The 27,897-nt window shown below is 44.4% G+C and overlaps 2 protein-coding genes and 1 long non-coding RNA gene across 9 annotated transcripts in view, besides 7 other annotated features; 1 reads left to right on the top strand and 2 right to left on the bottom strand.

Moving 5' to 3' along the window:
* Positions 8,112-8,611: an enhancer, noted in NCBI's record as "H3K4me1 hESC enhancer chr4:109107957-109108456 (GRCh37/hg19 assembly coordinates)". NCBI's record gives its function as "activates a minimal SCP1, AML or CMV promoter by ChIP-STARR-seq in naive H9 embryonic stem cells {active_cell/tissue: H9 hESC(naive)}" and the evidence as "EXISTENCE:reporter gene assay evidence [ECO:0000049][PMID:30033119]".
* Positions 8,612-9,113: an enhancer, noted in NCBI's record as "H3K4me1 hESC enhancer chr4:109107455-109107956 (GRCh37/hg19 assembly coordinates)". NCBI's record gives its function as "activates a minimal SCP1, AML or CMV promoter by ChIP-STARR-seq in naive H9 embryonic stem cells {active_cell/tissue: H9 hESC(naive)}" and the evidence as "EXISTENCE:reporter gene assay evidence [ECO:0000049][PMID:30033119]".
* Positions 18,982-27,887, bottom strand: LEF1-AS1 (LEF1 antisense RNA 1). Of its 2 annotated transcripts, none has more exons than NR_029374.1 (3): positions 27,579-27,887; positions 21,893-21,993; positions 18,982-19,620 (listed from the first exon to the last, which is right to left on the bottom strand). It is a non-coding gene; the product is annotated as an LEF1 antisense RNA 1 (long non-coding RNA). The 2 variants fall into 2 exon arrangements; NR_029373.1 differs by lacking the exon at positions 27,579-27,887 and adding an exon at positions 22,354-23,292.
* Positions 22,015-22,204: a silencer, noted in NCBI's record as "silent region_15619". NCBI's record gives its function as "represses an Ori minimal core promoter by ATAC-STARR-seq in GM12878 lymphoblastoid cells {active_cell/tissue: GM12878}" and the evidence as "EXISTENCE:reporter gene assay evidence [ECO:0000049][PMID:35858748]".
* Positions 22,445-22,694: a silencer, noted in NCBI's record as "silent region_15618". NCBI's record gives its function as "represses an Ori minimal core promoter by ATAC-STARR-seq in GM12878 lymphoblastoid cells {active_cell/tissue: GM12878}" and the evidence as "EXISTENCE:reporter gene assay evidence [ECO:0000049][PMID:35858748]".
* Positions 24,090-24,720: an enhancer, noted in NCBI's record as "NANOG hESC enhancer chr4:109091848-109092478 (GRCh37/hg19 assembly coordinates)". NCBI's record gives its function as "activates a minimal SCP1, AML or CMV promoter by ChIP-STARR-seq in naive H9 embryonic stem cells {active_cell/tissue: H9 hESC(naive)}" and the evidence as "EXISTENCE:reporter gene assay evidence [ECO:0000049][PMID:30033119]".
* On the bottom strand, positions 24,442-27,473 carry LOC124900752 (uncharacterized). The gene is made up of 2 exons (XM_047416528.1): positions 26,510-27,473; positions 24,442-26,302 (listed from the first exon to the last, which is right to left on the bottom strand). Exons 1-2 carry the CDS (start codon positions 26,910-26,912, stop codon positions 25,716-25,718), a joined length of 990 nt encoding a protein of 329 aa, XP_047272484.1. The 5' UTR covers positions 26,913-27,473; the 3' UTR covers positions 24,442-25,715.
* Positions 26,480-27,897, top strand: part of LEF1 (lymphoid enhancer binding factor 1) — a 121,385-nt gene continuing 119,967 nt past the window's right edge. For all 6 annotated transcript variants that reach the window (XR_007057926.1, XR_007057925.1, NM_001130714.3 and 3 more), the window contains exon 1: positions 26,480-27,857. Coding sequence is in view for 4 of the 6 variants with exons in the window: in NM_001130714.3 (NP_001124186.1) it covers positions 27,645-27,857 (213 nt within the window). In the remaining 2 variants the exon portion in view is untranslated. The remainder of the gene's footprint in view (positions 27,858-27,897) is intronic.
* Positions 26,481-26,530: a silencer, noted in NCBI's record as "silent region_15617". NCBI's record gives its function as "represses an Ori minimal core promoter by ATAC-STARR-seq in GM12878 lymphoblastoid cells {active_cell/tissue: GM12878}" and the evidence as "EXISTENCE:reporter gene assay evidence [ECO:0000049][PMID:35858748]".
* Positions 26,791-26,880: an enhancer, noted in NCBI's record as "active region_21796". NCBI's record gives its function as "activates an Ori minimal core promoter by ATAC-STARR-seq in GM12878 lymphoblastoid cells {active_cell/tissue: GM12878}" and the evidence as "EXISTENCE:reporter gene assay evidence [ECO:0000049][PMID:35858748]".

Here is a 27,897-nt window from a genome sequence, read left to right as displayed (position 1 = left end):
ATAAAGAGCTCTTTAAACTTACGCAGAGATGTTCATCCTTACTTGTATAAAAAGTACACATTAAAATACATTGAGGCAATATTTTCACCTTATGGACTGGCAAAGACAGAGAAATTTGATCAGTGTGAGGAAACAGGCACTCGCATATATTTGTAGTGGATGTATAAATTGGTATGATCTTTATGGAAAGCAATATGGCAACACAATTTCTATCCAAGCCACAAATGCTCATACCTTCTCACCTAGTAATTTCAATTCTAATAGTTTGCACTTCATGCACATTCTCACAATTGGCATGATCTCGGCTCACTGCAAACTCCACCTCCTCACACAAACACAAGAATATTAATTACCACATTGTTGGTGCTAGCAAAAGATTAAATACTACCTAAATATCCATCAATAAACGACAGGTAAAATAAACCAGAAAACATCCATATAATAGAATACTATGTTATAGATAAAAAGATTGAAGCAGCTCTAGAGAGACTGAGAGTAAAAGGCTTCCAGAATATGTTAAGTTAAAAAGGCAAATAATGAAACAATGAATGGTATGCTATCATTTGTGGGAGTGGGAGGGCAGGGGGAGGTGTATATATATTTAGAAATGGATATAAAATCTGAGTTTTGGTGATGGAACTTCACAAGTTTTCTCTTTTGTCCTAATTTTTTAAATAATGAACAGTAATTCCATTTTAAATAAGAAAAATAAACAAAGTTAATTTTTTAAGGAACTCAATCAAATGCCCTATAACTACCCAAACTCGTTTCTGGAAAGAGAAGAAAGTGAAAACAAATAAAACCACCTGGTTCTTTAGGTCTCTCTCCCTGATCCTAAGCAGTCCCCATCCTCTCCCTGGGAAAACAATGCAGTGTTAAACCCTCAAAGCCTCCCAGCTCAGTTGTTAAGGTAATTGTGTTTACTCTTTTCCAAACAAAGTAATTTGAATCAGAAAAGTAAATGTGCTCTGTCTTCAGGTTCTTTGATGTCATCTTCCTCCTTGCTCCAGAGTGTATGATGCCTGCCTGCTGCCCAGAGCATTACACACAGATTCTCTAAGCATTGCCATAGCTACACCATTCTGCTTGGGATAATGATGTAAAACAAATAAAACATAAGTAAAATCGAATTTGAAATAAAACAATAGGCCCTAAAAAACATAAGCTGTGTATGTTTTTTTCTTCCCTTTGAACACTTATGCTGATTATGAAACTTTGGAGTATTTTGAAATTTCAGAACAATTTTTAGTGTGCTAAAGCCCCAGAGGCATGACTATTTTCTTTCCTGAAAATAACATCTGATCAAGGCCAATGGTATGTTTGAAACATTAAGAGCCAGTGTTTGTACCTCTTAAGCCTATCAGATGATTTCCCTCTAGATGACCCTTGTTAAACATCACATCAGCTCTAAATGTGATTTTAGGATTTTAGGTTCTTAAGACTCTGAAGCTGGTAGCTGTTCAGTCATCCAGGCCGGATCTATGCAGGCAAAGGACGGAGTGGTTCATGCTGTATTAGATGAATTATCTGAGTTAGCCAAATAAAATCCTCTGGGCTGTGGGCTACCTACTGTCTCCACTGTCCCAAACCACCCCACAGTCACTTCATTCTTACTCTGGGATGTCCTGGGTCTACTTGCCTGGAGCTTCAGCTTCTTTTTCCTGTTTTCCTCTTTTTAAGACTCCTTTGCTCTGCCTTTTTTTTTTGTAACAACACATTTGGAGTTGGAAGTTACTTTAAGAAGACAAGAAAGTTAGGAAAATATTTAAAATAAATCTGCTAGAACGTCCCTTGCTCATTTAACACCCAGGAGTTAAGCTTCTATAATGGCATTTAAATCCTTGGGTTTTTCCTTTTTTTTTTTTCATTACTTTATGTACTTGCAATAAAAACATTCCTTTAGACTTTAGAAATTCTAAATAAAACAAGAACAAAAGAATGTTCCTTCTTTTCAACTCTCCACCCAAATGTTACCATTGTAAATCAAGGTAGCAAAGTAAATTAACTACTGGCATTTAAATGTTTGCTGTCCCAAATATTTATTCCTTCCCACTCCCCCAATTTGTTTTATACAAAACAATGCTCATAAAAACAATAAATACTCATTCTTTGTCTACTAAAATTTTAGATCAAAGTACTGTGTGGTCCAAATCCTGAATTGTAAAAAGTAATGTTTGTTCAGCAGGAAGCCTTCAACTTCCCAACAGCAATCTGACCAAATTTGGTTTCCAATTTTCTCTAAGCACTGAAGTGCTAGGTGTAGACATAATAATATGATTCACTCCACATTTGCATAATATACTTTACATCTGGAGTTTCATTTACCCCTTAACTGCATGATGTGCTAGAATCGGACGTATTTTGGTGTCAAGAAAGACCTGAATGTGCTGTCACTTGACGCTCTTATGCAGCTACAATTCAGTTTTGTCATGGGTAACAACAAGAGGGTATGTATGCCTACTTCTCTGGGATGCTGTGATGATTGGGTGAAATAACACATCCGTGGCTACTGCCCCACGGTGGGCCTGCCCACTGTTGCACATGCCATACCATGTTGTTTTTCTGTGTTTGTATATTAGCATCCCACCACTAGAATGTCTACTCCTCTGGGAAAGAACTAGGACCCCCTCTCCACCTCCTTCTGCAGCCTCAGGGTAGCTTCCATGTACATTCTTAAAAACTGATTTAAGCATACTGATTTTTGAATTCTTTTCTTGGGCTCACAAAAATTACTATACCCCATACCACTGCTCCCGAGCAAAAGGGCACTAGAGCCTTATTTCCCCTGCCACATTCCTACTTCTGGAGCCCTATTCAGGCTGAACATTTACAGGAGCTGTGAGAACCTCTGGTTCCCCCAGCCTCTAGCCCTGAACCAAGCTAGGTTGGCACAAACTATCCCCACCTTTGCCAGCCCCAAACTGCCCAGTGCCTCACTGTCCTTCATTCACTGCGCTTCAGCCCCAGCCCCACCCCCGCATGAACACATGCACATCACTCCCAGGCGTAGAATGCCAGGCAGTCCATAGCTTTCCATCCAGGCTCTTCCACAGCACTCACCACTCACACTTTTCTGCTGGCCTGATTCCCTCTGCCCAGAGGGTGAGAACAGCTCTATGTTTCCCTGAGGTGGAAGCCCTACCCCAGAGCTTTTGTGTGTGCCTTGTTCAGTGACAAAGTTGTCCCTGGGGACATGCTCTTGAGTAACGAACTTGACAAACAACTTTAAAATGACTACCAACAATCCACTCTAGGGCAGATTATCCCAGGGTAGATACACACTGCCCACCCCCTGCAAACTCTTTTGTGGTCCTATAATTGCCCTTGGGCTCATCTTTCAGAGAGTATGAGGAGAAATGACTGAGGCTCTTTCATAGTCTGGGTAAGTGGTTTTTGGTGAGGTGGACTACTCTCCTTCTAAATTATTCAGGAACGCATACTGATTGAAGCACTATTGAGCAACCAGTTGTGCTAGTTGCTACAAGGGAGATAATTATAAGACACAGCCCCTGCCTTCAGCAGCATTATTAGAGGCAGTATAGGGCACAGGTTCCAAATCCCAGCTCTGCCACAAACTATCTGCATGACCCTTAGCCTAGCTCTGAGTGTCAGTTTTCATATCTGTGAAATGGAGATACTCTACAGATTGTTTCCAGGACTAGAAATCACATGTGTGATACGCAGGGCAAGCAGTGAATAGGGTGTAAATGACAGGTGTTTGTTTCTGTTTTGTTTCATTGTTTTCTGAATGCTTGTTGAGAGGTGCAGTCCATGCTCTCAGGAGACCTACGGACACAGCAAGGAAGAGGAGGCAAACACATCACCTAGTACTAGAGTAGACTTCTCCACAGGGTAAAGTTCTAGGGTGGGGCCAAAGGAAGCTGCAGTCATGTCTCCCTGGGGTGGGGAAGTCCTTCATAGAAGAGATGACACAAGCTAGACCATGAAGGATGTTTAAGCACAGCACAAGCGGTGAAGACTGGAAGGGCATTTCAGATGCAGGGAAAGCCTGAGAAAAGGCCTAGAAAACTGCACGGAGTTGAACACCTGGAGCCTATGGTGAAAGCCTGGGCCCTGTGGTATGACTTGTGTGGGAGAGGACTGAGGGAGAATCAGAGGCAGAGCACAAAGTGATTTCTTGTAAGCAACTGAGGCAGGCAGTTGCTATTGAGCATGTTTTTCTTTTGATGATCTTTATGTATTTTAATTGTAAAAACAACATATGCTCATTGTTAAAGAAAAATTACATAGTAAAGAAGTACAGAGAATAAAAAGCAAATGATCCTGCCCCATTCCCTACAGGTAAGAGTTTAATGTTTACCCTTCTGGATCTTTCATTAGAGAGTATTTTAGGCAGGAATAGGCAATGACCAGATTTGTATTTAAAAAAAAATCACTTTGGGACCGGGCACAGTGGCTCACGCCTGTAATCCTAGCACTTTGGGAGGCCGAGGCAGGTGGATTGCCTGAGCTCAGGAGTTCAAGACCAGCCTGGGCAACATGGAGAAACCCTGTCTCTACTAAAAATACAAAAAATTAGCCGGGCATGGTGTTGCGTGCCTATAATCGCAGCTACTCAGGAGGCTGAGGCACAAGAATCGCTTGAACCCGAGAGGCGGAGGTTGCAATGAGTCGAGATCATGCCATTGCACTCCCACCTGGGCGACAGAGTGAGACTCTGTCTCAAAAAAAGAAAAAAAAATCACTTTGGGTAGAAGGTAGTGGACGGGGTGACTGAAACCAGGGAGACTCCCCAAGTCATGGGGCAGTTCTTTCAGAGAGACAGTGAGAGTCTGTATGTACTGAGGCAGCGCTGGGGGCGCTTGGTTCCTCACCCATCATGCAGGTGAGGGAGTGAGAGGAATTATAAATGACACCCTGGTTTTGGCTTATATGAATGAAATTAAATGTATAGAAGAACCAGAGGTTTGCAGGGGGAAATTATGAGGATAGTTTTGGGCATGATGAGTTTCATGTGGCCATCAGACAGGCAGAAAAGTATGTCCAAGGTCTGGGGCTTAGGAGAGAAATGTGGCTTAAAGAAGCAGATGTGGAATACTTTTCATGAGGGGGAGCTCACTGAGGGAGAACCAGGGGAAGGCCTATATTTAAGAAGCAAGAAGAAACAAGAGACCTTTCCAGGGAGACGGAGAAGGAGCAGACAGAGGAGGAGAAAGAGGAGAACAGTGTGATGGCGAATAGGAGAGAACTTCAGGAAGGATCGGGGCATCAAATGCTGTTCAGGGAACAAGGAGTCCGACGGAAGTGAGGGCCAGCTTTGCTCGTAGCAGTCATCAAGGAAGGGGCTGACAGTGGAGCAGGTTCAGTGCTTTGTTTATATTATCAGAAAAAGGCAGGGAGGAAATACGACACAATGTCCGCGAGTGTTACTTCTAGGTGTTCAGATGACGATGATTGCTATTTTCTTCTGTCCCCAGTAAAAGGGTGAGGGAGGAAGATGAAAGTACCACATTCCAAAAGAAAACCCTTTAAAATTACACAGATGAAGCAAGTTTATTCAACCTGCTTAAGCATTTAAAGTCTTAAGAGAAGATACCAGCTTTATGAGGAATATGGCATAAAACAATACAGTTGTTACGTATTACTGCTTGCCATTTTGTACAGGCCGCACATGAAGCACAGTGTGAAACTTTCTGGTTCTTCCAAAGATCCTCCAGAGCTAGCTCAGGAACTCACAGCAGGTTTTTCCCCAAGCTTCAGCCATGTGTGTCTATGATTTTTGCCATATCTCTTTACCACCAGTCTTATTATAAGCATTTTATTTAAACCAATTGGTTTAAATAAAGTAGTTCTTACATGAATCCAGTTATATCACAATAGTAAATGGAAAATCTAATATCACAATAAATAGTAGGCAATTAAAAAATAAATATAATGAAGGGGAAAAAAACCCTCTTAGTATAAATTCTAGCAAGATTCTCTCAACAACTCGAGGTTTCTAGCCTGAGACCTGATCTAGCTCTCTGGTAAAAAGGGAAATAAACAGGCACTAGAAATGGTTAAAGATTTGCAGGTACTGTAGTTCAAGTTTTCCCAGAAGCAAACCTGTGACTAGAATTCAGTTGCAATTAGTTTACTTGCGAGGTGAAGGAAATGTGGAAACACAATGAAGGAGGTGGGAAGTGAGGCAGAAAAGAGAAGGAAGCAATTGAATAACATATTATCAAGCCAGCTCTCACTGTGGACAACTAGAGCTTCATCCCTCTGAGGAAACTCAGGGAGCCAGTGTAAAACACACCTCAGAATTCGCCTACACAAAGAATGAGAGAGACGGGGTATTTATACACCAACTGCTATTAGTCACTTGTTGAAGGTCAATCCCTAGGACATTAATTCCCCAGCATTCCTGGGTTGCCTTGTGGGCAGCAAAGCAGGTCTCATAGTCAAGAGAAGGCCTTGGGCAAAGAATATAAGGGCTGTAGGTGTAACTCTGGCAGGCATACACCCACTTGATAAAGGTGAAAAGGTATGGGCCAGGTTCCAACAGAGGCTGCTACAGGTACTAGACTGATAGAGAATAGAAAAGGAAATAGTTTTCTCATGATTTGAGTGAAAATAATTTATTGCTAGTCCTGTAAATCACTCAAAATCATCTCCCATACCACCAAGCCAAGGCTCCCCAACCCCTGGAAACCTTCAAATACTCTTGTAAGGCCTGAAACAGCTCAGCAAGGATAAAGCCTGGCCCAACAACTGTCCTGAGGGGCCTGGTGGAATTCCATCCAGGCCACTGAAAAACAGAACTTTTCAGATATTTTGTTTACTCTTCTCCCTATCAATTAGAAATAGCTTCATAATACCTGCCTGCTCAATAGAGCATTCCAAAAGAGTTGTCTCTAGAGAAGCAGGTCACATTGACAACACAGACAAATTAGAGTATGACTGTTTACTTTTAAATGGAACTTTTACCTTTAAAAAAGGGCCATCAAATGCCTTCTAATAACAGCTTCCCTGATTTGTTTAAAATATGATTTATTGTTTATATGTATATTAAGCTATATCCATTTAGGAGATCACAACAATAACAAGAGGTAAAGTATATAGGTACTATGTGCTACGATACTTTTGTGTATGTATTTTTGTAGATATTCTTTCATTCAACAAACATTTATTGGATTCTATCTGCAAGTCAGGAACTGTTCTAGGTGCCTAGATTTATAGCAATGAAGGAAACAGACAAAAATCCCTTCCCTCCAGGGAATTACATTCTACTAGGGAAGACAGTCAAAAAATAAAAATAAATGAATAAAATACATAGGATGTCAGCTGGTAATAAGTACTACAAATATAGTGAGAGACGAGGATAAAGAGTACCAACAGCTAGGGGAGGAGTTATAATTTTAAATAGGGTGATCAGGGAAGACCTTACTGACAAGGGATATTTGGAAAGACCTGCAGGAGGTGAGGGAGTGAGCCATGTGAAGATCTGGGGAAACATTACTACGAAGAAAGGAAATAGCCTCTGCAAAGATGCTGGGGTAAGAACATGCCCAAGATTTGAGAAAGCAAATAAACTCAAGTGGCCAATGCACAGAAAGCAAGGGGAACAGTGAGAGATGAGATCAGAAAAGTAAGAGGTGGGTGTAGATCACACAGGATCCTGCAGAACATTGGGAAATGGTAAGCTGCTGGGGCATTCTGAGCAGAGGAGGGACATAAACTGACCTAAGTTTGTAAACCAAAAAAATGCCAAGCCCCCCAACTGACTGTATGGACCCCCTCTGTGCCAAGGGGATCCCAGAGAAACACGAAAAACTGAATTCCCAGCCATAAGAGGAAGGGACGTCAGGCATGCCTGGTTATACCCCTCCCTTCTAGAGTTTAGGACAACTGACCAGCATTAACACTGAAATAGAGATCATAAGACTGACAGAAACAGACTCTTTGTGGCAATAAGTTACCAAATTCCAACCTGATTCTGATATAGCATCACATGAGATAGAAGACTCTGAAGGAAATAAAGTGATTTTACCCTAAAATATATTTCTTTGACATATTTTGAAATGGCCCTAGAAAGCCCTCTCTCGGGGAAATTTGCATCTCTAGAAAATCTCCTTCCCTTTCTAGTTTTTCCTGGATCTAAAAGGGACTAAAGGAGAGTTTTGTTTCGAAAAGTTTTGAAAAGAGACATTTACCATCTATTCTAAGGCTGTTACCTGGAGGTTTAATCTAAATAACAAGAACCTTGGATTTCACAATCCTCCCCGCATCTTGACTCTAGCGTGTCTTTGTACTGACTTCAAGTCTAGACAAAGCTTAACTTTTTCAACCAATTGTCAATCCGAAAATCTTTGAATCCGCCTGTGACCTATAAGTAACCCCCTCATACTATGACGTGTCCTGCCTTTTGGGGCCAAACCAATGTATACCTTGCATGTATTGATCTATGTCTTTGTTGATATCTTCTGTCTCCCTAAAATGTATAAAACCTAACTGCAGCCAGACATGCAGCTCACACCTGTAATTCCAAAACTTTGGGAGGCCAAGGCAAACGGATCACTTGAGCCCAGGAGTTTGAGGCCAGGCTGGGCAACATGGCGAGACCTCGTCTCTACAAAAAATACAAACATTGGCCGGGCGCGGTGGCTCACGCCTGTAATCCCAGCACTTTGGGAGGCCGAGGCGGGCGGATCACGAGGTCAGGAGATCGAGACCACGGTGAAACCCCGTCTCTACTAAAAATACAAAAAATTAGCCGGGCGCAGTGGCGGGCGCCTGTGGTCCCAGCTACTCGGGAGGCTGAGGCAGGAGAATGGCGTGAACCCGGAAGGCGGAGCTTGCAGTGAGCGGAGATCGCGCCACAGCACTCCCGCCTGGGCGACAGAACGAGACTCCGTCTCAAAAAAAAAAAAAAAAAAAAAATACAAACATTAGCCAGGCATGGTGGTGTGTGCCTGTAGTCCCAGCTACTCAGGAAATTGAGGTGGGCAGATCACTTGAGCCCACAAGGTGGAGGATTTAGTAAGCCATGATCGTGCCACTGCACTCCAAAAAATTGTAACCCAACCACGTGGACATACTTTCTCAGGACCTCTTAATACTGTTCCCCAGGCCTGGGTCACTCATATTGGCTAAGAATAAACCTCTTTAAATATTTTACAGAATTTGGCTTGTCATCAATAGTTTTAAGATCACTCTGTGAGCTTTGCAGACAATAGCAGGTACAGCATGGTAGAAACAGGGAGACCTGTTAGGAGGCTATGATAAATATCTAGATGAAAAATGATTGCAGCTTGAACTAGGCTGGTGAGAAGTAGCTGGTTCTGGTTATATTTCACAGGGAAATAATTTGTAGATAAGGCTGGGGGCAGTGGCTCAGGCCTATAATCCCAGCACTTTCGGAGGCCAAGGCGGGTGGATCACCTGCGGTCAGGAGTTCAAGACCAGCCTGGTCAACATGGTAAAACCCTATCTCTACTAAAAATACAAAATAAAAAATTAGCTGGGTGTGGTGGTGCACGCCTGTAATCCCAGCTACTCAGGAGGCTGAGGCAGGAGAATCGCTTGAACCCGGGAGGCAGAGGTTGCAGTGAGCAGAGATTGTACCACTGCACTCCAGCCTGGACGACAGAGCAAGACTCTGTCTCAAAAACAATAACAACAACAAAAGAATTTGTAGATAGATTGGATGTGGGGAGTGAGAGAAAGAGAAGGGTGAGGATGGCTCTAAAGCTTTTGGCATGAGCAACTGAAATAATAGATCTGCCATTTCCTGAGACAGAGAAGACTATGAAGGAACAGATTTGGGGAAAGATCATAAGTTGGGTTTTGGACATGCTGAATTTCACATACCTATTAGACATCAAATAGAGGTTTGTAGGCAGCTGTATATGTAAGTCTGTAAATCTGGGGCTAGGTCTAGGCCAAAGATGTAACTCAATGTTGTTAGCATTTATAATATATTCAGAGGCATGAGACTGGATGAGGTCATCAGGAAATGAATTAGATAGAAAAGAGAAGGGGGTGAGAGACTGAGCTGTAGGGGCACTCCACCAAATACATAGAGGTCAGGAAGACAAAACAAGCAAAGGAGACTAACGAAGAGCCAAGGAGATCCGGAAAGAACCAGAAGCTGATGGCATCCTGGAAGTAAGGGAAGAAAGCGTTTGAAGAAAGTGTAATCAACTGTGTCAAATGCTGATGATGGGTCAAATAAGGGGGACGAGAATTGACCATCAGATTTAGCAGTTTTGGTGGAGAGCTGGGGCAAAAAGCATGCCTGGAATGTGGTCCAAAGAGAAGGCAGAGGAGGAATGTATGTTCATTTGCTACCCACTTTGTGCCTATGATTTCAGTACTGCTTGGAACCTAAAGAAATGTCTAATTATTTCCTTGACAAAATAAAGCACGATTGAATATTAGCTCTTTTTGAATTAATTAATTTGGGTTTAAATAAAGTTTTTCTTCAACAGTGTTTTACCTAAGTTATTTAAATGATTGGTGTAATTCTCTACTTTTCACATGAACAAAATATTGGCTACATACTACAGTATGTGGGGTAGATGTGATGGATATTCTGCATATGTAGTCTCTATGGTAAGTTAATGAATGTTTTATGTAAGTCAGTAAGTCTCTCCTCTGTTCTCTTCTGGTGAGGCACCAATAATCTGGAACATGAGAAAAAGGAGACAGTAGAAAGAAAAGAGGAGTAAGCAATACTTCTGAATTTTCTCCAACCTGAATGATGGAGTTAGTTCTATTTTAATCCAGTGTCAACATAATAGATGGACACAAAGTCAATTCATCAGTGTTCACAGTGAGGCTTGCAGCATAATTACTGAGTCATGGCACAATGTAAATTGAGTTACCAAAATAAAAAAAAGAAATTGTCCCCTTTTTCCTTTTAAATTAAATCTTGTGTCATGTTCCTGGTCAGATCTGGATACAATTCTGAGTTTTTAACTATATAAATTAGTTGTAATGTCTGCAATACCACTCTTATTTGATTGCAAATTCCTCTTTCATCTCACCAAGACTAGAGGAAACTATAAAGAAATAGGATATCACTCATCTTCTGATTAACTGAAAGTGAGGGCAGAGTTTTATTCAAAGGATCATATTTCTGGGCTAGAAATATAATTATTATTGCTTTATTTCTTTTTCTTTTCTTTTTCTTCTTTTTTTTTCTTCAATAAAAAAGGAGCAGAAAGAGACATTACAGCTGAAATAGAGTTACTTCCATGAAATGTTTCTTCCACAGTGCTGGGAGCCCTAAGATAACAGCCTTGTATTCAAATGTGAGAGGCAGAAAATGTAATTCACTTGAAGCATTAAGTGAAACAGAATAGTTTTTTTTTAAATCATCCACAGTAAGTGAAATATTCTTAGTAAATAATGTACAATGTCCATTTGATTTTCAATATTTTTTCAATTTGCAACCAAGAAATAAATAGACATAATGACAATGATTTTCATTTAAAGCTCATTGTTGCTATTATTGGAATAATGAATATAATTAATCATAGAGCATTAACTCTTATATAGAAAACAAACAGGCTTATCTTGGTTTACAAGTGAGTGAAAGAGATAAAAGTAAATATTTAGTTATTAAGTAAACTCTCTCTCCTGCTTTACTTCTTAGATTGTACCTTATCTAATTGCTGTCTGTCCAACTGATATTCTCATAGAAATTAACCTTTTTTACTTTAATTTTCAGCTCACTTATTTCTAACTTACGTAGCCACCAGGCAAAGGCATTTCTTACTCAGGTGACCTTCTGGCACCAATTCACCACTTTGGGCACCAAATCATCCCTCCTATCAATTCTAATTCCCTTCATTTTCAGGGGTCAAACTATGAAATTCTCATAGCAAACCAGTGGAAACAGTTTCTCAAGTGATTTCACACCCCACATGCTGTAGGGTTGACGAAGAGAGCAGGAGGGATGAAACGCACAGGGGCGCAACAGCAAGCAGCTCAAGAGTGTTTTGTGGGCCATACTTGGAGTAGATCCTTAACGTTGTTTTCGCATTATTGTTTTTATTTCCCTCACAGCATGCAATGTCTTTTTGGACTACCAGGCTAGTAATCCCAGAAGTCATCTGACCTGAACCATGTTGCAATCCATTCCATAGTCCTCTTTAGGACAATTTTAACCTATGTATTGATCACATTGTTTTGGCATGGACCTTTGAGCCCATATTTAAGTTAATTAAATTTTTCCCTTCCTGGAAGTTGAGGTTTATCTTCACCTTAGAAACAGAGAGGAAAGAGAAAGAGAAAAAGAGAGAGAGAGAAAGAGAGATGAACTTCAGCTATTTCACAGTAAGGGGGAAAAAAATACATCCTATCTGTATTTTTTAACACTTCCCACAAAAGAAATTCAGGAAATGCTATCTTTTTTACAGTAAGTACAATATTGTGCCACAGCCAAAAGATGTTCCTGTTTGCTGTGTTCAACCACATGTTGAACCGACAGAGGCCAGAGGAATGCTAAGCCTAGAAGGTATGTGCAGGGGGCATGCACAAATCCACGTTGCTCTCCTGCGCTTCTGCACCCACCAAAGAGCCTCATGTTCCCAAGTCTCTGGCACACAGCTGCCTCTGGAAATCACCCCATCAGGTCCTTAGTCACTTGCTCCCCTAATACCCTTCCCCAAACATCCATGTCTGGAGCAAACCAAGACCTCTTCCGACTGTCAGTCGTTAAGACAACAGACATTTCACTTACTACAATGAAAAACAGTTTATAATACAAATTATTTCATGCAATTTACTTGGTCAGTGTTTCAATTCAGCACTTTGATAGCCAATCCAATAACCTGAGTTCCATTTCTCTCCTTCCTATTAAGTACATTACAGTATTAGCATGTTTTCTAGAAAGGGATACTCTAAGGTGACAAGTTGTTCAGATAGAGAAAATAAATTACAGAGTTAAGGAATATATCCGAAGCAACCAGCAAGAAAACCACAAACTACCAACAAATGTCATTTCACCAAAAATGTAGCTTAAGAAGTTGCTTTGAAATAAGTTCATCCCATAGGGGAAATTTCTGGGATGACTGAAATGTTCTATATCATGATGGAGTGATAGTTTCACAGGTGTATATATTAATCAAAACACTCTGGGGAGTCTTTCAGAATCACCTGTGACTCTCAGAGCTGCCCGATTTAAAACACACACACACGTGTGTATTTGTATACTTTGTACACTTAAGACCTACACATTTCATTGTGTTTAAATTATTACCTTAAAAAAAAACAGCCCATCTTTCTGATCATTATAAACCAGGGGTGTCCAATCTTTTGGCTTCCCTGGGCCACAGTGGAAGAAGAATTGTCTTGGGCCACACATACAATATACTAACAATAGCCGATGAGCTAAAAAATAAAATAAATCATAATGTTTTAAGAAAGTTTACGAATTCATATTCAGCTGCATTCAAAGTTGTCCTGGGCCATATGTGGGCTGTGGGCCATGGGTTGGACAAGCTTGCTATAAACTGTCAGAGCCCTTTTATATTGACCTCTGCATGACCAGCAGGTGGCCCTGAAATTGTGTCTGCTATAATGCAGTGGCTCCAATACTGCCCCCAGTTCCTGATACTCTTCTTCTGTGATTTACTAATTTTTGTTGTCAAAATTACCCAAGATCAGCTCTTTCACTTTTTAAGATATTTTTATCACATAACATTTAAAATTATATTTTATTACTTTAAAAATGTTGGTTCATTGCATATAAAATTTTCCAAATGCAGCCAGGTGCGGTGTCTCATGCCTGTAATCCCAGCATTTTGGGAGGCTGAGGCGGGTGGATCACCTGAGGTCAGGAGTTTGATACTAGCCTGGCCAACATGGTGAAACACCGTCTCTACTAAAAATACAAAAATTGGCCGGGCATGGTGGCGCACGTCTGTAATCCCAGCTACTCAGGAGGCTGAGGCAGGAGAATCGCTTGAACCTGGGAGGCAGAAGTTGCAGTGAGCCGAGATTGTGCCACTGCACTCCAGCCTGGGTGACAGAGTAAGACTCTGTCTCAAAGAAAAAAAAAAGAAATTTCTAAAAGCACAAACAATAAAAAACTCAATAAAAAATCTCCACTATTCAGAGAAAACTACTATTAGTATCTTACTGTCTGTCCTTCCAGATATAGTCAACAGATATTGACTAAGTGCCTACTTTGTGCCAGGAATTGTTCTAGACATCAGATATACTGAGGTAAACAAAACAGTGCCCCTGCTCATAGAGTTTACATTCTAATAAATGATCTGTAAACATAAACTTTTTAAAATGAGGTATGATTGCATTTATTCTCTTATAACTTTATTTTTTAACTTAGCAATGTATCACTAATATCTTCATGTGAATAAAAATAATTGAGCATCATTATCAAAGCTGTGTGGTATTTCACCATCAAGCTATATTAGAATTTCACAAATCCACAGCTAGACCTTTCCAAGTTTTTCAAAGTTATAAACGCTTCTTTTTCTTCCTCCTCGTCTTCTTCTTCCTCTTCTCCTCTTCCTTTCTTCTTTTTCTCCTTCTTCCTTCTCTTCCCTGCTCCTCGTTTTCTTCTCCTTCTTCCTCTTCTCCTCTTACTCCTTCTCTTCCTCTTCTCTTCCTCTTTCTTCTTTCTCTTTTTCTCCTTCTTCCTTCTCTTCCCTCTTCTTTTCCTCTTCCTCTTCATCTCCTCTTCCTCTTTCTCTACTTTTCTCCTTCTTCTTCCTTCTCTTCCCTCCTCCTCCTTTCTTTTTCTCTTTTCCTCTTCCTTTTTCTTCTTCCTCTTCTCCTCTTCCTTTTCTCCTTATTCTTTCTCTTCCTCCTTGTTTTCTTCTCCTTCTTCTTCCTCTTCTCCTCTTACTCCTCCTCTTCCTCTTCTCTTCCATTTTTTTCTCCTTCTTCCTTCTCTTCCTTCCTCCTCTTCATCTCCTTTTCTTCCCCTTCTCTTCCTTTCTTCTCTTTTTCTCCTTCTTTCTCTTCCCTCTTCTTTTTGCTTCCTCTTCTCCTCTTCCTCTTTCTTTTTCTCCTTCTTCTTCCTTCTCTTCCTTCCTCCTCCTCCAATTCTTTCTTCTTGTTCCTCTTCTCCTCCTCTTCTTCTTCCTCTTCTCTTCCTCCTTCTTTTCTTCTCCTTCTTTCTTCTTTTTTTTTTTTTTTTGAGGTGGGATCTCACTCTGATGCCCAGGCAAGAGTGCAGTGGCATGATCATAGCTCACTGAAGCCTCAAACTCCTGGGCTCAAGTGCTCTTCTTGCCTTAGCCTCCTGACTAGCTGGAACTACTGGCGCACACAACCACATCCAGCTAATTTATTTTATTTTTAGAGATGGGGTCTTGCTATGTTGACCAGGCTGGTCTTGAATTCCTGGCTTCAAGCAATCCTCTTGCCTTGATTCCAAACTGCTGGAATTACAGGTGTGAGCCACTGTGCCCAGCCTACTCTCTGTACTTCACTGAAAATCTATGGTTCACTTTTATTTTTATTTTTTTTCTTGAGATGGAGTTTCGCTCTTGTCACCCAGGCTGCAGTGCAAGGGCATGATCTCAGCTCACTGCAACCTCCTCCTCCTGGGTTCAAGCAATTCTCCTGCCTCAGCCTCCTGAGTAGCTGAGATTACAGGCGCTTGACACCACGACCAGCTAATTTTTGTACTTTCAGTAGAGACAGGGTTTCATCATATGGGCCAGGCTGGTCTCGAACTCCTGACCTCAGGTGATCCTCCTGCCTTGGCCTCCCAAAAGTGCTGGGATTACAGGTGTGAGCCACCGTGCCTGGCCTATGGGTCATTTTTAGTCACAGTAAGGATAGTATGTTTATGTAATACTTCTCTACCATAAAAGCATATCAAGGCTTTAGAGGTACATCTCTCAACAAACAGTCTTTACCCATTTCTTCCAGAAAATGACCCTGCTCTTTTGTTCATCTTCCTCCTCTTATTGCATCAGGTTTAAATCTCTGAAATGGAGGGGAATGACTTTTGCAACTAAAAGAATTTGCTAGGCCTAAGGCTAATGCCTTATTAAAGCATTTTAGTGAAAACTCAAGGCATAGGACAGAATAGACTTACTATTATATCTGGCCCATGTGTACCAAGAAGCAGTTCAGGAATTGTACCTGAAAATGAAATCTGTAGTGGGAGTAGGCACTCTCCATGGTATATATTTCTGGAGAAACTTTTGATCCTGGATGACTCTTATAGAAGTGCAGGTTTGGCAGTTTTACAGGGAGGAGAAAGTTATTCTAGAGAATATGATACAGAAAACCTTCAACTTATGTATTTCCTAAAGTTCAATGGTAAATCTATTATTTACAATGTAGAAAAGTACTCAACTCAGCAACACACGAGAACCACAACTATTCATTGCACACCTCTCTTATGGGCAAAGCACTGTTATAATACACTTAAAATGATTATAATCTCAAGTTACTTCACCAAGACTTATTTCACCCTCCAATAAGTTGAAAGTCTGAATTTGCCATGAAAAATAGTATATAACAATATATTGTTATGATATTCTTTGATACATTTTTGATCAACTACTGTTTTGAGGGAAATGTGTAAGGCAATATGGGGGTTACAAAGATGAATCTGACAAAAACTTGTCATTAAACAGTTGACTGACTGCATACAGTAGCCTCTAGCCACACTCAAGCACTCAAAAGGTGGCCAGTTAGAACTGAATCGTGCTGTAAGTTGCTGGGCGCGGTGGCTCACGCCTGTAATCCCAGCACTTTGGGAGGCCGAGGCAGGCAGATCACGAGGTCAGGAGATCGAGACCATCCTGGCTAACATGGTGAAACCCCATCTCTATTAAAAATACAACAACAACAACAACAAAAAAGCCGGGCGTGGTGGCGGGCGCCTGTAGTCCCAGCTACTCGGGAGGCTGAGGCAGGAAAATGGCGTGAACCCAGGAGGTGGAGCTTGCAGTGAGCCGAGATCGTGCCACTGCACTCCAGCCTGGGCACAGAGCAAGACTCCGTCTCAAAAGACAAAAAAGAAAAAAAAAAGAACTGAATCTTGCTGTAAGTAAACTGCACTGAATTTCAAAGACTTAATATGAAAAAAGAATGTAAAATCTTTCATTAGTAAGTTTTCATAATGATTATATATTAAAATGGTAATAATTTCAACATTTGGGTTAAATAAAATGTATTATTAAAATTAATTTAATCTGTTTCTAGCTTTTTAAAATTACATATGTGACTTGCATTATATTTCATTTGGCAGTGCTGATCTGCATAATTACAGTTATCACCTACTGAGTGTATCTACTGTATGCCAGGTAATTTTATAACAATTATTTGTAATCTTCCATAAGGGAAGTATTCCAGATAAGAAACCTGAGGTTGTCAAAGGCATGTTAATTTATTCTTCTACACACCTTGCTAGTATATTTTCTATGCACCAAGAGCTGCCACAGGAAGTAAGGATAAAACAAAGCAAAGTCCCTACCCTCATGGAACTTATGAACCAGTGGGAAAGAAAGCTAATTAGTAAGTAAGTATAAAAAATAGGCCAAGCAGTGACAGTAAAAGAAGATGAAGTCCATAAAAAAAATGGAGAGTGACCGGAATTGGAGTGAAGGCAGAAGGTTTGGGGGGATGGCTATTTTTTAAGATAACAAGCTCTAAGGAGGGACTATCTGAGCAGAACCTGAATGAAGTCAGGGAGTGAGCCCTGTGAACATCTACCTGGCCAGGAGCTTCTGGGCAGAGGCAACAAGGACTGAGGTGTATAGTGTGTGTGTGTGTGTGTGCATGTGTGTGTGTGTGTGTGTGTGTGTACACGTGCGTGCATGTGCTTTGCACTCTGAAGGAACAGCTGGAGAGCCAGTGGTGCTAGAGAGCAGTGAGCAAGAGGAAGCCAGGTAACAGCTCACATAGGGACTTGGAAGCCACAAGTAGGAAATGTTAAAGGATGACTTTGGCTGCTCTATGAGGCATGGACTATTGTGGGGCATGCATGGAACCCAGCAAGAACGGATGCCAGAGCACTTTGAGAGGTCAAGGTGGGTGGATTGCTTGAGGTCAGGAGTTCAAGACCAGCCTGGCCAACACAGCAAAACCCTGTCTCTACTAAAAATACAAAAAGCCAACTGTGGTGGTGCACACCTGTAGTTCCAACTACTTGGGAGGCTGAGGCACGAGAATCACTTGAACCTGGGAGCCGAGTTCACACCACTGCACTCCAGCCTGGGCGATAGTGGGAGACTGTCTCGGAAAAAAAAAAGAATGAAAGCCAGAGACTCATTAGGAGGCAACTGCAAAGGTGCAGGACAGGGAGGGCTAACAGTGAGAGAGTTAGAGCTTCAACAAGGTCTGTCTTACTCAGCCACTGTGAGATACAAAGCAAAACAATGTAAAAAATTATCCTAGTAATTTGAACTGCAAAAATCAAATATCTCGGTAATTCAAATGAATCTCAAAATATATTTGGGAGTCTGGGGTTATCAGAACTGGCAGTCAAAAATTACCGTCTAACCTCATAGGATAGTAGTTTATCTCTGTCCTTTGCTTTCTGCCAATTTAACCTAAGGGAAGTGGACTTGAGATCTGTTAATTGGCAGAGCGGGACTGCAGGACCTTTAAGTCAAATTCAGATGAGGCAAATTAGCTTTATTTTGGCCAAAGAAAAGTGTTTGGTGGAGCCAGATGACAATTTTGTAGCCTAAACTATTTGCACTGGCTGTCTCTACCATCTGAATTCACTCCCATCGTTGTTAATTCTGAGTTTAAGCGTAGCCATACAAGCAAGACAAAGCTAAGGAAGGAACTAGAAATTGGCTGTGTCTTGGATAAATGTATATATGAGTACAGGTAACCTCACTCAAGGAGTCTGTTTTTATGGACAGAAGTGCTTTAAAACAGAAAGCATCCTCAAGGTCAAATGTCATACAGGCCAAGTTCTTCCTCTGAGAGGTAAATAAGGATTTAAAGCAGTTACCCAGTTTCAAATGAAAACAAATACAAACCATTCCCAAGGACACTCAAAAGTCATGTCATGAGAAAAAGGAGGCTCAATCCTGATGCTCTAGGTTGGTTTATTTACTTTGATGGAACTCACTGGAAAATTCTTCAACTCCACGCTTCACTGTGCCTGTGTAGGATGTGTTTTCTGGGCATTGGATGTAGATCTTGTCAATCAGGTACTTTCCTGGAGCACTAAAATGTACAGATTACACACATCAAAGGCAGGCTGCAACCACTGTAGCTGAAATTTACACAAAATCTATGCGGCTAGTAACTGGATAAACAATGAGACTAACGACCTTGTTCTGCATTAATCTCCCTATGGCTCAGTTGGTACTGCAAGAAGGTTGTGGCTTTGGCTTCTAGCCTCAAACCAGGCATTACGTGCTTGCCCAATGCCAACAGAGCCCAGGAAGCCTGAGAATATAGCCCCAGTCCATCCATTTTATGAGGTACATTTACCACAATTCAAGAAACACATCCATTACCATATCCACCCAGGAAAGAGATTTATAAAAATAAGTAAATTCCTTGGCCCTGCCTCCCCTTTCAGGGAGTTTATTTTCTTATAGAAGGCCTCAGGTTTTCCTTAAGTGTTTTCAGGGTTTCTCCATTGCCCCCCAAAAGCAAGATAGAATCCTTGAACTATCTTCCTCTTTTGGCCAAGAATAAATTTCAAAAAGGCTGCATCTGTAAAGAAAAGAGAAAGGAAGAATTGAAGTTGACCAGTGAACTTGATCAGCATCCACTTTTAATTTAGGACATTTGGGAAAAGGTACATTGAAAATAGAAGGTGCTTGGCCGGGCGCGGTGGCTCACACCTGTAATCCCAGCACTTTGGGAGGCCGAGGTGGGCGGATCACCTGAGGTTTGAAATTTGAGACCAGCCTGGCCAATACGGCGAAACCCCGTCTCTACTAAAATTACAAAAATTAGCCGGGCATGGTGGCAAGTGCCTATAATCCCAGCTACTTGGGAGGCTGAGGCAGGAGAATCGCTTGAACCTGGAAGGTGGTGGTTGCAGTGAGCCCAGATCATGCCACTGCACTCCCGCCTGGGCGACAAAGTGAGACTCCTTCTCAAAAAAAAAAAAAAAAGAAAAAAGAAAATAGAAGGTGCTTTCTAAGTGCCAATTAAAATTGCTATAGAGTCCCTTCCATACAATTGGCAAAGGCTGAGGGTTGCTTCTGGCAGGAGGCAGCTGAAGGAGATGGAGCATCTCAGGAGGAGTCTGCACCCTGGGCAGCCTTGGGCCATGCCAAAGGGACCTAGGAACCCTGGAACCCCACCCATCTCCCAGCCCTGCTGCTTTCATAACTTTGTATACAGGTCACACTGAAAAGCTTATATTGGAAAATGGCTCCCAATGAGCCCAGGAAATGGCTCCCTTGGTGGGGTTACCTTAGGTTAGAAAGGATCACACTGAGGTACATTCAGCTAAATGCCCTATGCACTACACCTGTGGTACTCCTGTCACTTCCCAGCCAGCCCTAGCAATAATCTTTACTGCATTGTAAACTTGAGATACCTCTGTCTGGGATACATAATCACAGTCTATTCTAAAACATAGATTTTTGTGGCACTCACACAGTCCCAAGAAACAACTCTTATATACCTTTCTAGTCACTCTCCCCACCTGTGAGTCCTTACAACTGTTGTTGGGGGTATTTTATCCACATAAACATTACTGCTTTCTCAAGCCATTATACTAAGACTGTTTTCAGAGCTGCTGTAATGTGTGTTAAATGTCTCACAAGAAGATATTGTTTTCAGTGTTATTTTCTTCATTCATTTATGAATTCATTAAGAGCCCAACATAAACACGAGTTAAGGCACATTCACCCTGTTCTGAAAATGTTCTCTCATCACACTCACTTGGGGGTAACAACTGCTTCAGTGATTTTGGTGGCCTTTGTAACACAACTGATGGAGGCGTGGAGATGGTCATAGCATGGACGCGAGAGCGTAACACTGTCCCCATTTGCTCCTGTGGTAAGGGTTTCTAGAGCTTCAGAAGTTTTTGGTTTTGCAACTTAACAGGTCCCCTTAAAAGGATCGTCTTTGCTTCATGGACTAATAATACCTCACATTTGTACATACTTTCATATGCATTATCTCACTTAATAGTACGGTATTATTATATCCATTTTTTCAGAGAGGAAACAGACTCTGGGAGAGGTTAAAATGGCTTGCCTAAGGTTACCAATGGCATGAGAGGGAGTGGCAGGGCCCATCTCCAACCCAGGATTTCTGACTCTTCGTATCACAGTATTTCAAAGCTGTCTCTTTCTTTTAGTTACTTCCATTAACAACAGAAGTGAAGGGACCTACAGTTTTTTAACCATAAAAACACAAAGGTTTCTGACTGGTGAGTGGCCTCTAGGAAAAGATCTCTGCAGTCTATCGACGAGAGGGTTTCAAATCACAGAGATCAACTGTGACAGTAAGTACTTTGATAAAAATACTAACATTGGTTTTCCAGAATCTAACTTCTGTGAAAGAAAACTATACGGTGCACCATATCATGTGTAGAAAAAAAGGACCACTATACACAACGAACATATCCACACGTGTTGTGTCAACGTTCTCTTCCCAAATGTGGCCGCAGAAGAAAGTGCGAAGCATGCTGAAATAAGACAGTATTTACGGCTAAGGAAATTCGGCTTCACATACCGGTAATTATGAACAAGATATTTTCCCTAATAAAATTACTCCAAAACGAAATATAGAGAAACTGTTTCCCTATGTTCTCTTTATTTTATACCATGTGCTCAAGAATGGTCACAGAAAAGAGTCAAAGGGAGCAGAGAGAGAAAGAAAGAGAGCTATATAGAGAGCCGGCCTCTGCTGAGGGTTGGTTTTGCTTTAGAAACTGGAATGTGTCCAGGCTTGATTTTTATTTTCAATTCACATTTCAGATCCAGCTCCCCAAACTCTTTGATCTTTCTCCCTGTCTCCTTACCCGGAAGAGAACCCTTGGCCTTCTCAGCTGGGAGCTGGGAGCACACGTGGAAAGACTGGCTCAGATCCATATTCTTGCCAAATTTAGTCACACAAAGGGGCCTGCGAGGGAAAAAAGAAAGGATGAAAGCGGCAGCCGCCGCGACTTCAAAGGCCGCGCCGCCGCGCGGGGCCGTGCGCAGGCGCCTCCCTCAGCCGATATAAGGCACGGCTCGAGCGCGCGAGCGGCCTTTCCGCGCGCGTCCCCGACCCGGGGGGCGGGCCGAGGGACGCGGAGGGCCGGTGGGAAGGAGGGCGAAGGGTTGGATACCGCGGCCGTGCTACCCGCCGGCTTTTCGAGGCCGGTCCCCATGCCAAGTTCAGGCGCCTGAGAAAAGTTTTTCAGAAAGGAGGGACAAGAATGTCACGTCCTGCCCACGAAATGAGCAGTCCTGTGGCCCGCAAAATGACTCCAGCTCCCACCTCCATTCTAGCTCCGTTCTAGGCATTCCCCGTGCGTGGGAGCCTGGGTTCCCGTCACGGAGCGCAGCCGAGCGAGGAGGGCGCGTGGCCGGGCCCTGTCTGGCTCCTTCGGCTCCCCTGTGCCCGCCTTGCGTTCCTGGTTCCCGTGCGCTCTCCTACCGGCGCGATTCCTCTCCCCCTTGGGCAGCCTTAGGACGTGTGCCCTCGCCTCCCAGCTGGCAGAAGGGCGGCCTGCAGAGCGGGGTGGGATGCGCCCCTTCCCCGCGGGCCGCAGGAGGAGGCGGCCCTGTGGACAGCCGCGCCCCGGACCCCCACCCAGCGAGGCAGGGACGCAGGGCTCGGCCTGCACTGGCCCAGCGCTGGGAAAGCCGCAGGAGGGCGCGAGGGGTGGCGGACCCCGCTCGCTGGAGCCCCGCGTGGCTGCGCCGAGCTACAGACGCCAACGGGCGCCGGCCCCGCGGAAGTCCGACGTCCGCAGGCGGCCGGATTTGGGAACGACTTTTTCACGGTCCCACGAGTTCCCTGATACCCCGGAGGGTGGGGGGTTGAGTTTGTTTGTCTTTAGGAGGCGGCAAGAAGAAGGGGAAGAACCCCTGGGACACAAACTGCCATTTCCCTCGCCCCCCTTCTCTCCTTTTCCGCGAAGTCCGTTAAACTGAAGATGCCCACAGCTTTCGTCTCCGGGTGAAGCCGGGGTGGGAAATAGAGGGGGTCGGGGTTCCGCCTCTGGAGTCACATTATTCGTTTTCTAGCCCTTCTCCCTGGCTCCTGGGTATCCTCTTCCGTAGGCCCCGCCACCTCCTTCCTTTTGGATCCCACCAAAGTCGTAGCTGGGAGAGAGTCCAGGCCACACAAAGGGGAAGACCTGGAGCCTGGGCGGGGGTTAGGACCGAGGGGGCGGAGAGGACTCGAGGGGCACCGTGCTTTTCTCTCGTCCTTGTAATTAAGGACTCACTGGACTGTCTGTAGCCGACTCGAGTTGGCAGCAAAATCGCCGGGGGGAGGGGTTTTCTGGTGTGAGTGGGGGTCACTACCCTGTCTCTCCTGCCCGCTCCCGAGCGGGGCTGGGCTCCGCTTACCCAGTGAGCAGCGAGGCCGTCTCTTCTCCCCCGCTCCTCTGTTCTTGTGCGGGGTGGGCGCCTCGCCCCCCACGCGCAGTTGAGGCGACGGCGCCCGATGTAGAAGGAAGTGTTGATATAAAACAAGTTTGTTCCCAAACTAAACCCAAACCAAGCAAAGCCACCAGGAGGGGAAAAACCAACAGCAATCCAGCCAGCCCCTAGCAATTGTTTTCACGGTCGGAATTAAATCACATCAAAACGCCCCCTGAAACCCACATCCTGAAGGAGTGAACCTACAACAGCCAACCTCCAGTCGTTCGCTCGAGTTCACACGAACAACTTGCCTCTAACATCCGAGTGAAGGGGGCGGCGGGTGCCTCTCCCGCACCGCACCCACCACATCCCGGACCTGGGATCCCACTCGCACCCGAAGAGGCGGCTGCTTATGTTAATATCAGCCCCCACACGAATTAGAAAAGACCGCCCGGTGACAGAATTGCTTATGCCAGGAACTACACTGAATCCGTAAGGGAGGGGGAAGAACGTCTTCCCGGGGTTACTTCGCCCCTCCTGCGTCCTCCTGCTGTTTCCAAAAGACAGACTTCATGTGCAAATGTCAACCTCTCTCCCAAACGAAGCTTTAGAAATTTGGGGCGCATGGTTTTTACTAAAGCCCCTTCTAAGTGCTGCTCATCAGAAGATTTACAACAATCCTAAAGACAATCAGCTAACACAAGTTACACCACTGTAAGGAAAACAGCCACGCAAATAGAGCAAGGTGCTGGGTGATTTCGTTAGAAACAATGTTTTCAATGGACGGGGTCTCAGTAAAATACCAAACGCAGCCCCCTACCCTTGGCCCTTCAAGTAAACAGTTTCCCCTAGTTATTGTTCTAAAAATTCCCATCTTCTTGAGCTTCTAATCTTCAGGAAACCTGGAGCATAGGCTCCAAATTACTCGGGGAATCCAGAGTTAACATGAAGGAGAAAGTGGGATCTGAATTAGTTTCAGCACTTAAACAGCGGGGGGGATGTAAGAGTCATCATTTAATCTCTCTTCGGCTTCCAGAAAGTACCCCCTGGCCATTCTGTGTTCTCCCCTCCCCCTCCTGAGGGTTTGATGAAAAGGAACCTCTACTCTGCTTTGGTGAAACTGCATTTTCCACTTGTTTTCCTATTGGTCAAATTGGTGCAGTTATGGGAGGACTTTTGACTGTTTTCCCATGTGTCTTTTAAGAATGGGGCTATAAATGTCTGACACAGCTACACGTTCACCTCTCTGGGACACTACTCACACTGGTGCCTAACTTTAAGGGAAGTGACATACCACCATCATCCAAAAACAAAAATTGGGTTTCTCACACACTGTAGCAGAATATACTCTTTTTCTTCTCTTGAGGCATAGCATTGTCAGCTATTAAAAATGGATTTAATGTTTTAATTTTCCTGGATTCCTTCACCAACCCCTTAATTTCACCCCAATCTTCCAGATAGAATTTACATGTGACTACTGGCCATGTTGTAGGGACCAATTGGATCCTTTGTAAAGTTTTAAAAATTGCTTCCTAGTAAATTCTTATTCCCAAGAAGTAGTCGTTATTAGTAGGTGAAGTCATTAGTGCTCACTTAGATACAGCATTGTAAAAATCTTTACCCATTCAATGTTCAGCAGCCTGAAATTTCACCTTTAGGAAAAAAAGAGGGATCTTTGCCAGACAATTCCTATATAATGGAGCAAAATCTGATTCTGTAGTGTTTTGCTTGTTTTCGATTTAAGGGAGATGAAGATACATTTCTTTATGTCCTTTGTTTACTGTTCTGAAGTTTTACAGATGGTTACTGTATTGGATATAATAATTTTGCCTAGATTTTTAACTGAGGGGGTTTGAGAACCAAGGGACAAAATGTAATGTGTTTTCAAACTTCAGCTTCCCTTCTGCTGTAACTTTCACAAAGTATCTCCTGAAAACTCCTGTCTTTGTACAAAATTCATCAAAGAGACAGTGGAGACTGGGGAATTTTTGAGGTTGTATTCGGATTGGTGTCTTCAAGGGTCCCTTTCAGTTCGCAGTCCAAGGTGCCAGGGACTACCCCGTCCTCCCTCCCTCTTCTGGCTTTGCTCTCCTGAGTCCTTTTGCCTTCTCTTCCCCCTTCTTGGATTATCTTTTCATTCTCGATGAGGTTCCCACACACTGCGGTGTGTGTCTCTGAAAACCCACTGGAGACCTAGCACAACTCTCCGTACATCCCGTGGTGAGAACAGAATGAAAGATATATTGTTTAAAAAGCAATAATTAAAATCTAGTCTTCAGTTCCTTCTTCCTCGTCATATTTTTTCTCCGTAAGCCTAGAGATTTTATTTTCACTAGTGTGTTCCCTTGTCTCCAAAGAGCGTGTGTGTGATATTATATTCGGGAAAGCTACAACTCTCTTTTCCTTGTCCTTCTGTTCTCTCTTAATAGTTGAGCAATGTCTGTTATATTTTCCCCTTTTCCTTTTTTTCTCAGTCCCAGATTCCCGCCTCTCCCCACTGTCAGAGCATCTATCAATGTGGTGTCCATCACAGCGGCAGCGGCTTTCTCTTTCATCTTCCTCCCTCTGCCAGAGCCAGGGAGGGAGAGTGGGAGGCGTCAAGGAGGTAGGGGAGAGACTGGCAGAGGAAAAGGAGTGGGTGGGTGGGGGCCAAGTAAATAGATACTTAGATGATGAAGTCAAGCCACTGCGGCAATGTTTCTTGTCAGTTTCACGCGGGCAAAGCGTGCCTTTCGGTGGGTTATAAGCAGCGCCCGGTCCTTCCTTCTCTCGCCAAGTTGCCTGATCCTTCCCTCCAGGCGCGCGCGCACACACCACACTCACACACCCCAAAACCAAGACTCGTCCTACAGGATCTGGGAAAAGAAAAAGAAAAAAAAGCCCTCAATCACCACCTCCTTCTCGCCGACTCCCCCTCACCCCCCGCCTCCCCTCCAGCGGGCAGCCAAGGAGAGCTAGAGGCGGGGGAGGGGAGAGGGAGGAGAAGCGACGCAAGTGGGTAGCTTTTCAGCGCCGGCGAGGCGCGGGAGGAGGAGAAGCAGTGGGGAGGCGCAGCCGCTCACCTGCGGGGCAGGGCGCGGAGGAGGGACCCGGGCTGCGCGCTCTCGGGCCGAGGAACCAGGACGCGCCCGGAGCCTCGCACGCGGCCAAGCTCGGGGCGTCCCCTCCCCTCGGCCGGGCGAACTCAAGGGGCGCAGCTCTTTGCTTTGACAGAGCTGGCCGGCGGAGGCGTGCAGAGCGGCGAGCCGGCGAGCCAGGCTGAGAAACTCGAGCCGGGAACAAAGAGGGGTCGGACTGAGTGTGTGTGTCGGCTCGAGCTCCGGGCAGAGGCATTTGGGCCCGAGGCCCCCGCTGTGACTCCCCGAGACTCCGCAGTGCCCTCCACTGCGGAGTCCCCGCGCTTGCCGGCAAAAACTTTATTCTTGGCAAACTTCTCTTTCTCTTCCCCTCCTCCTCGGCCCCCATCTTCTGCTCCTCCTCCTTCTCTAGCAGATTAAATGAGCCTCGAGAAGAAAAACCGAAGCGAAAGGGAAGAAAATAAGAAGATCTAAAACGGACATCTCCAGCGTGGGTGGCTCCTTTTTCTTTTTCTTTTTTTCCCACCCTTCAGGAAGTGGACGTTTCGTTATCTTCTGATCCTTGCACCTTCTTTTGGGGCAAACGGGGCCCTTCTGCCCAGATCCCCTCTCTTTTCTCGGAAAACAAACTACTAAGTCGGCATCCGGGGTAACTACAGTGGAGAGGGTTTCCGCGGAGACGCGCCGCCGGACCCTCCTCTGCACTTTGGGGAGGCGTGCTCCCTCCAGAACCGGCGTTCTCCGCGCGCAAATCCCGGCGACGCGGGGTCGCGGGGTGGCCGCCGGGGCAGCCTCGTCTAGCGCGCGCCGCGCAGACGCCCCCGGAGTCGCCAGCTACCGCAGCCCTCGCCGCCCAGTGCCCTTCGGCCTCGGGGGCGGGCGCCTGCGTCGGTCTCCGCGAAGCGGGAAAGCGCGGCGGCCGCCGGGATTCGGGCGCCGCGGCAGCTGCTCCGGCTGCCGGCCGGCGGCCCCGCGCTCGCCCGCCCCGCTTCCGCCCGCTGTCCTGCTGCACGAACCCTTCCAACTCTCCTTTCCTCCCCCACCCTTGAGTTACCCCTCTGTCTTTCCTGCTGTTGCGCGGGTGCTCCCACAGCGGAGCGGAGATTACAGAGCCGCCGGGATGCCCCAACTCTCCGGAGGAGGTGGCGGCGGCGGGGGGGACCCGGAACTCTGCGCCACGGACGAGATGATCCCCTTCAAGGACGAGGGCGATCCTCAGAAGGAAAAGATCTTCGCCGAGATCAGTCATCCCGAAGAGGAAGGCGATTTAGCTGACATCAAGTCTTCCTTGGTGAACGAGTCTGAAATCATCCCGGCCAGCAACGGACACGAGGTGAGCGGGCCGCTGCCCCAGTTCCGAGAGGCGTGGCGGG

The sequence above is a fragment of the Homo sapiens genome, chromosome 4 (assembly GCF_000001405.40).
Source record: "Homo sapiens chromosome 4, GRCh38.p14 Primary Assembly".
In the NCBI taxonomy this organism is placed as follows: Eukaryota; Metazoa; Chordata; class Mammalia; order Primates; family Hominidae; genus Homo; species Homo sapiens.
Note: the sequence above shows the minus strand (reverse complement) of the source record. Positions and strands in the feature narration are given on the sequence as shown.

Coding starts and splice junctions, on each gene's coding strand:
- LOC124900752 (XM_047416528.1), bottom strand. CDS start 26,912: ATGGGGGCCGAGGAGGAGGGGAAGAGAAAGAGAAGTTTGCCAAGAATA. Junction 26,303..26,509: donor CTCCGCGCCCTGCCCCGCAG/GTGAGCGGCTGC, acceptor TTCTTTTCCCAG/ATCCTGTAGGACGAGTCTTG.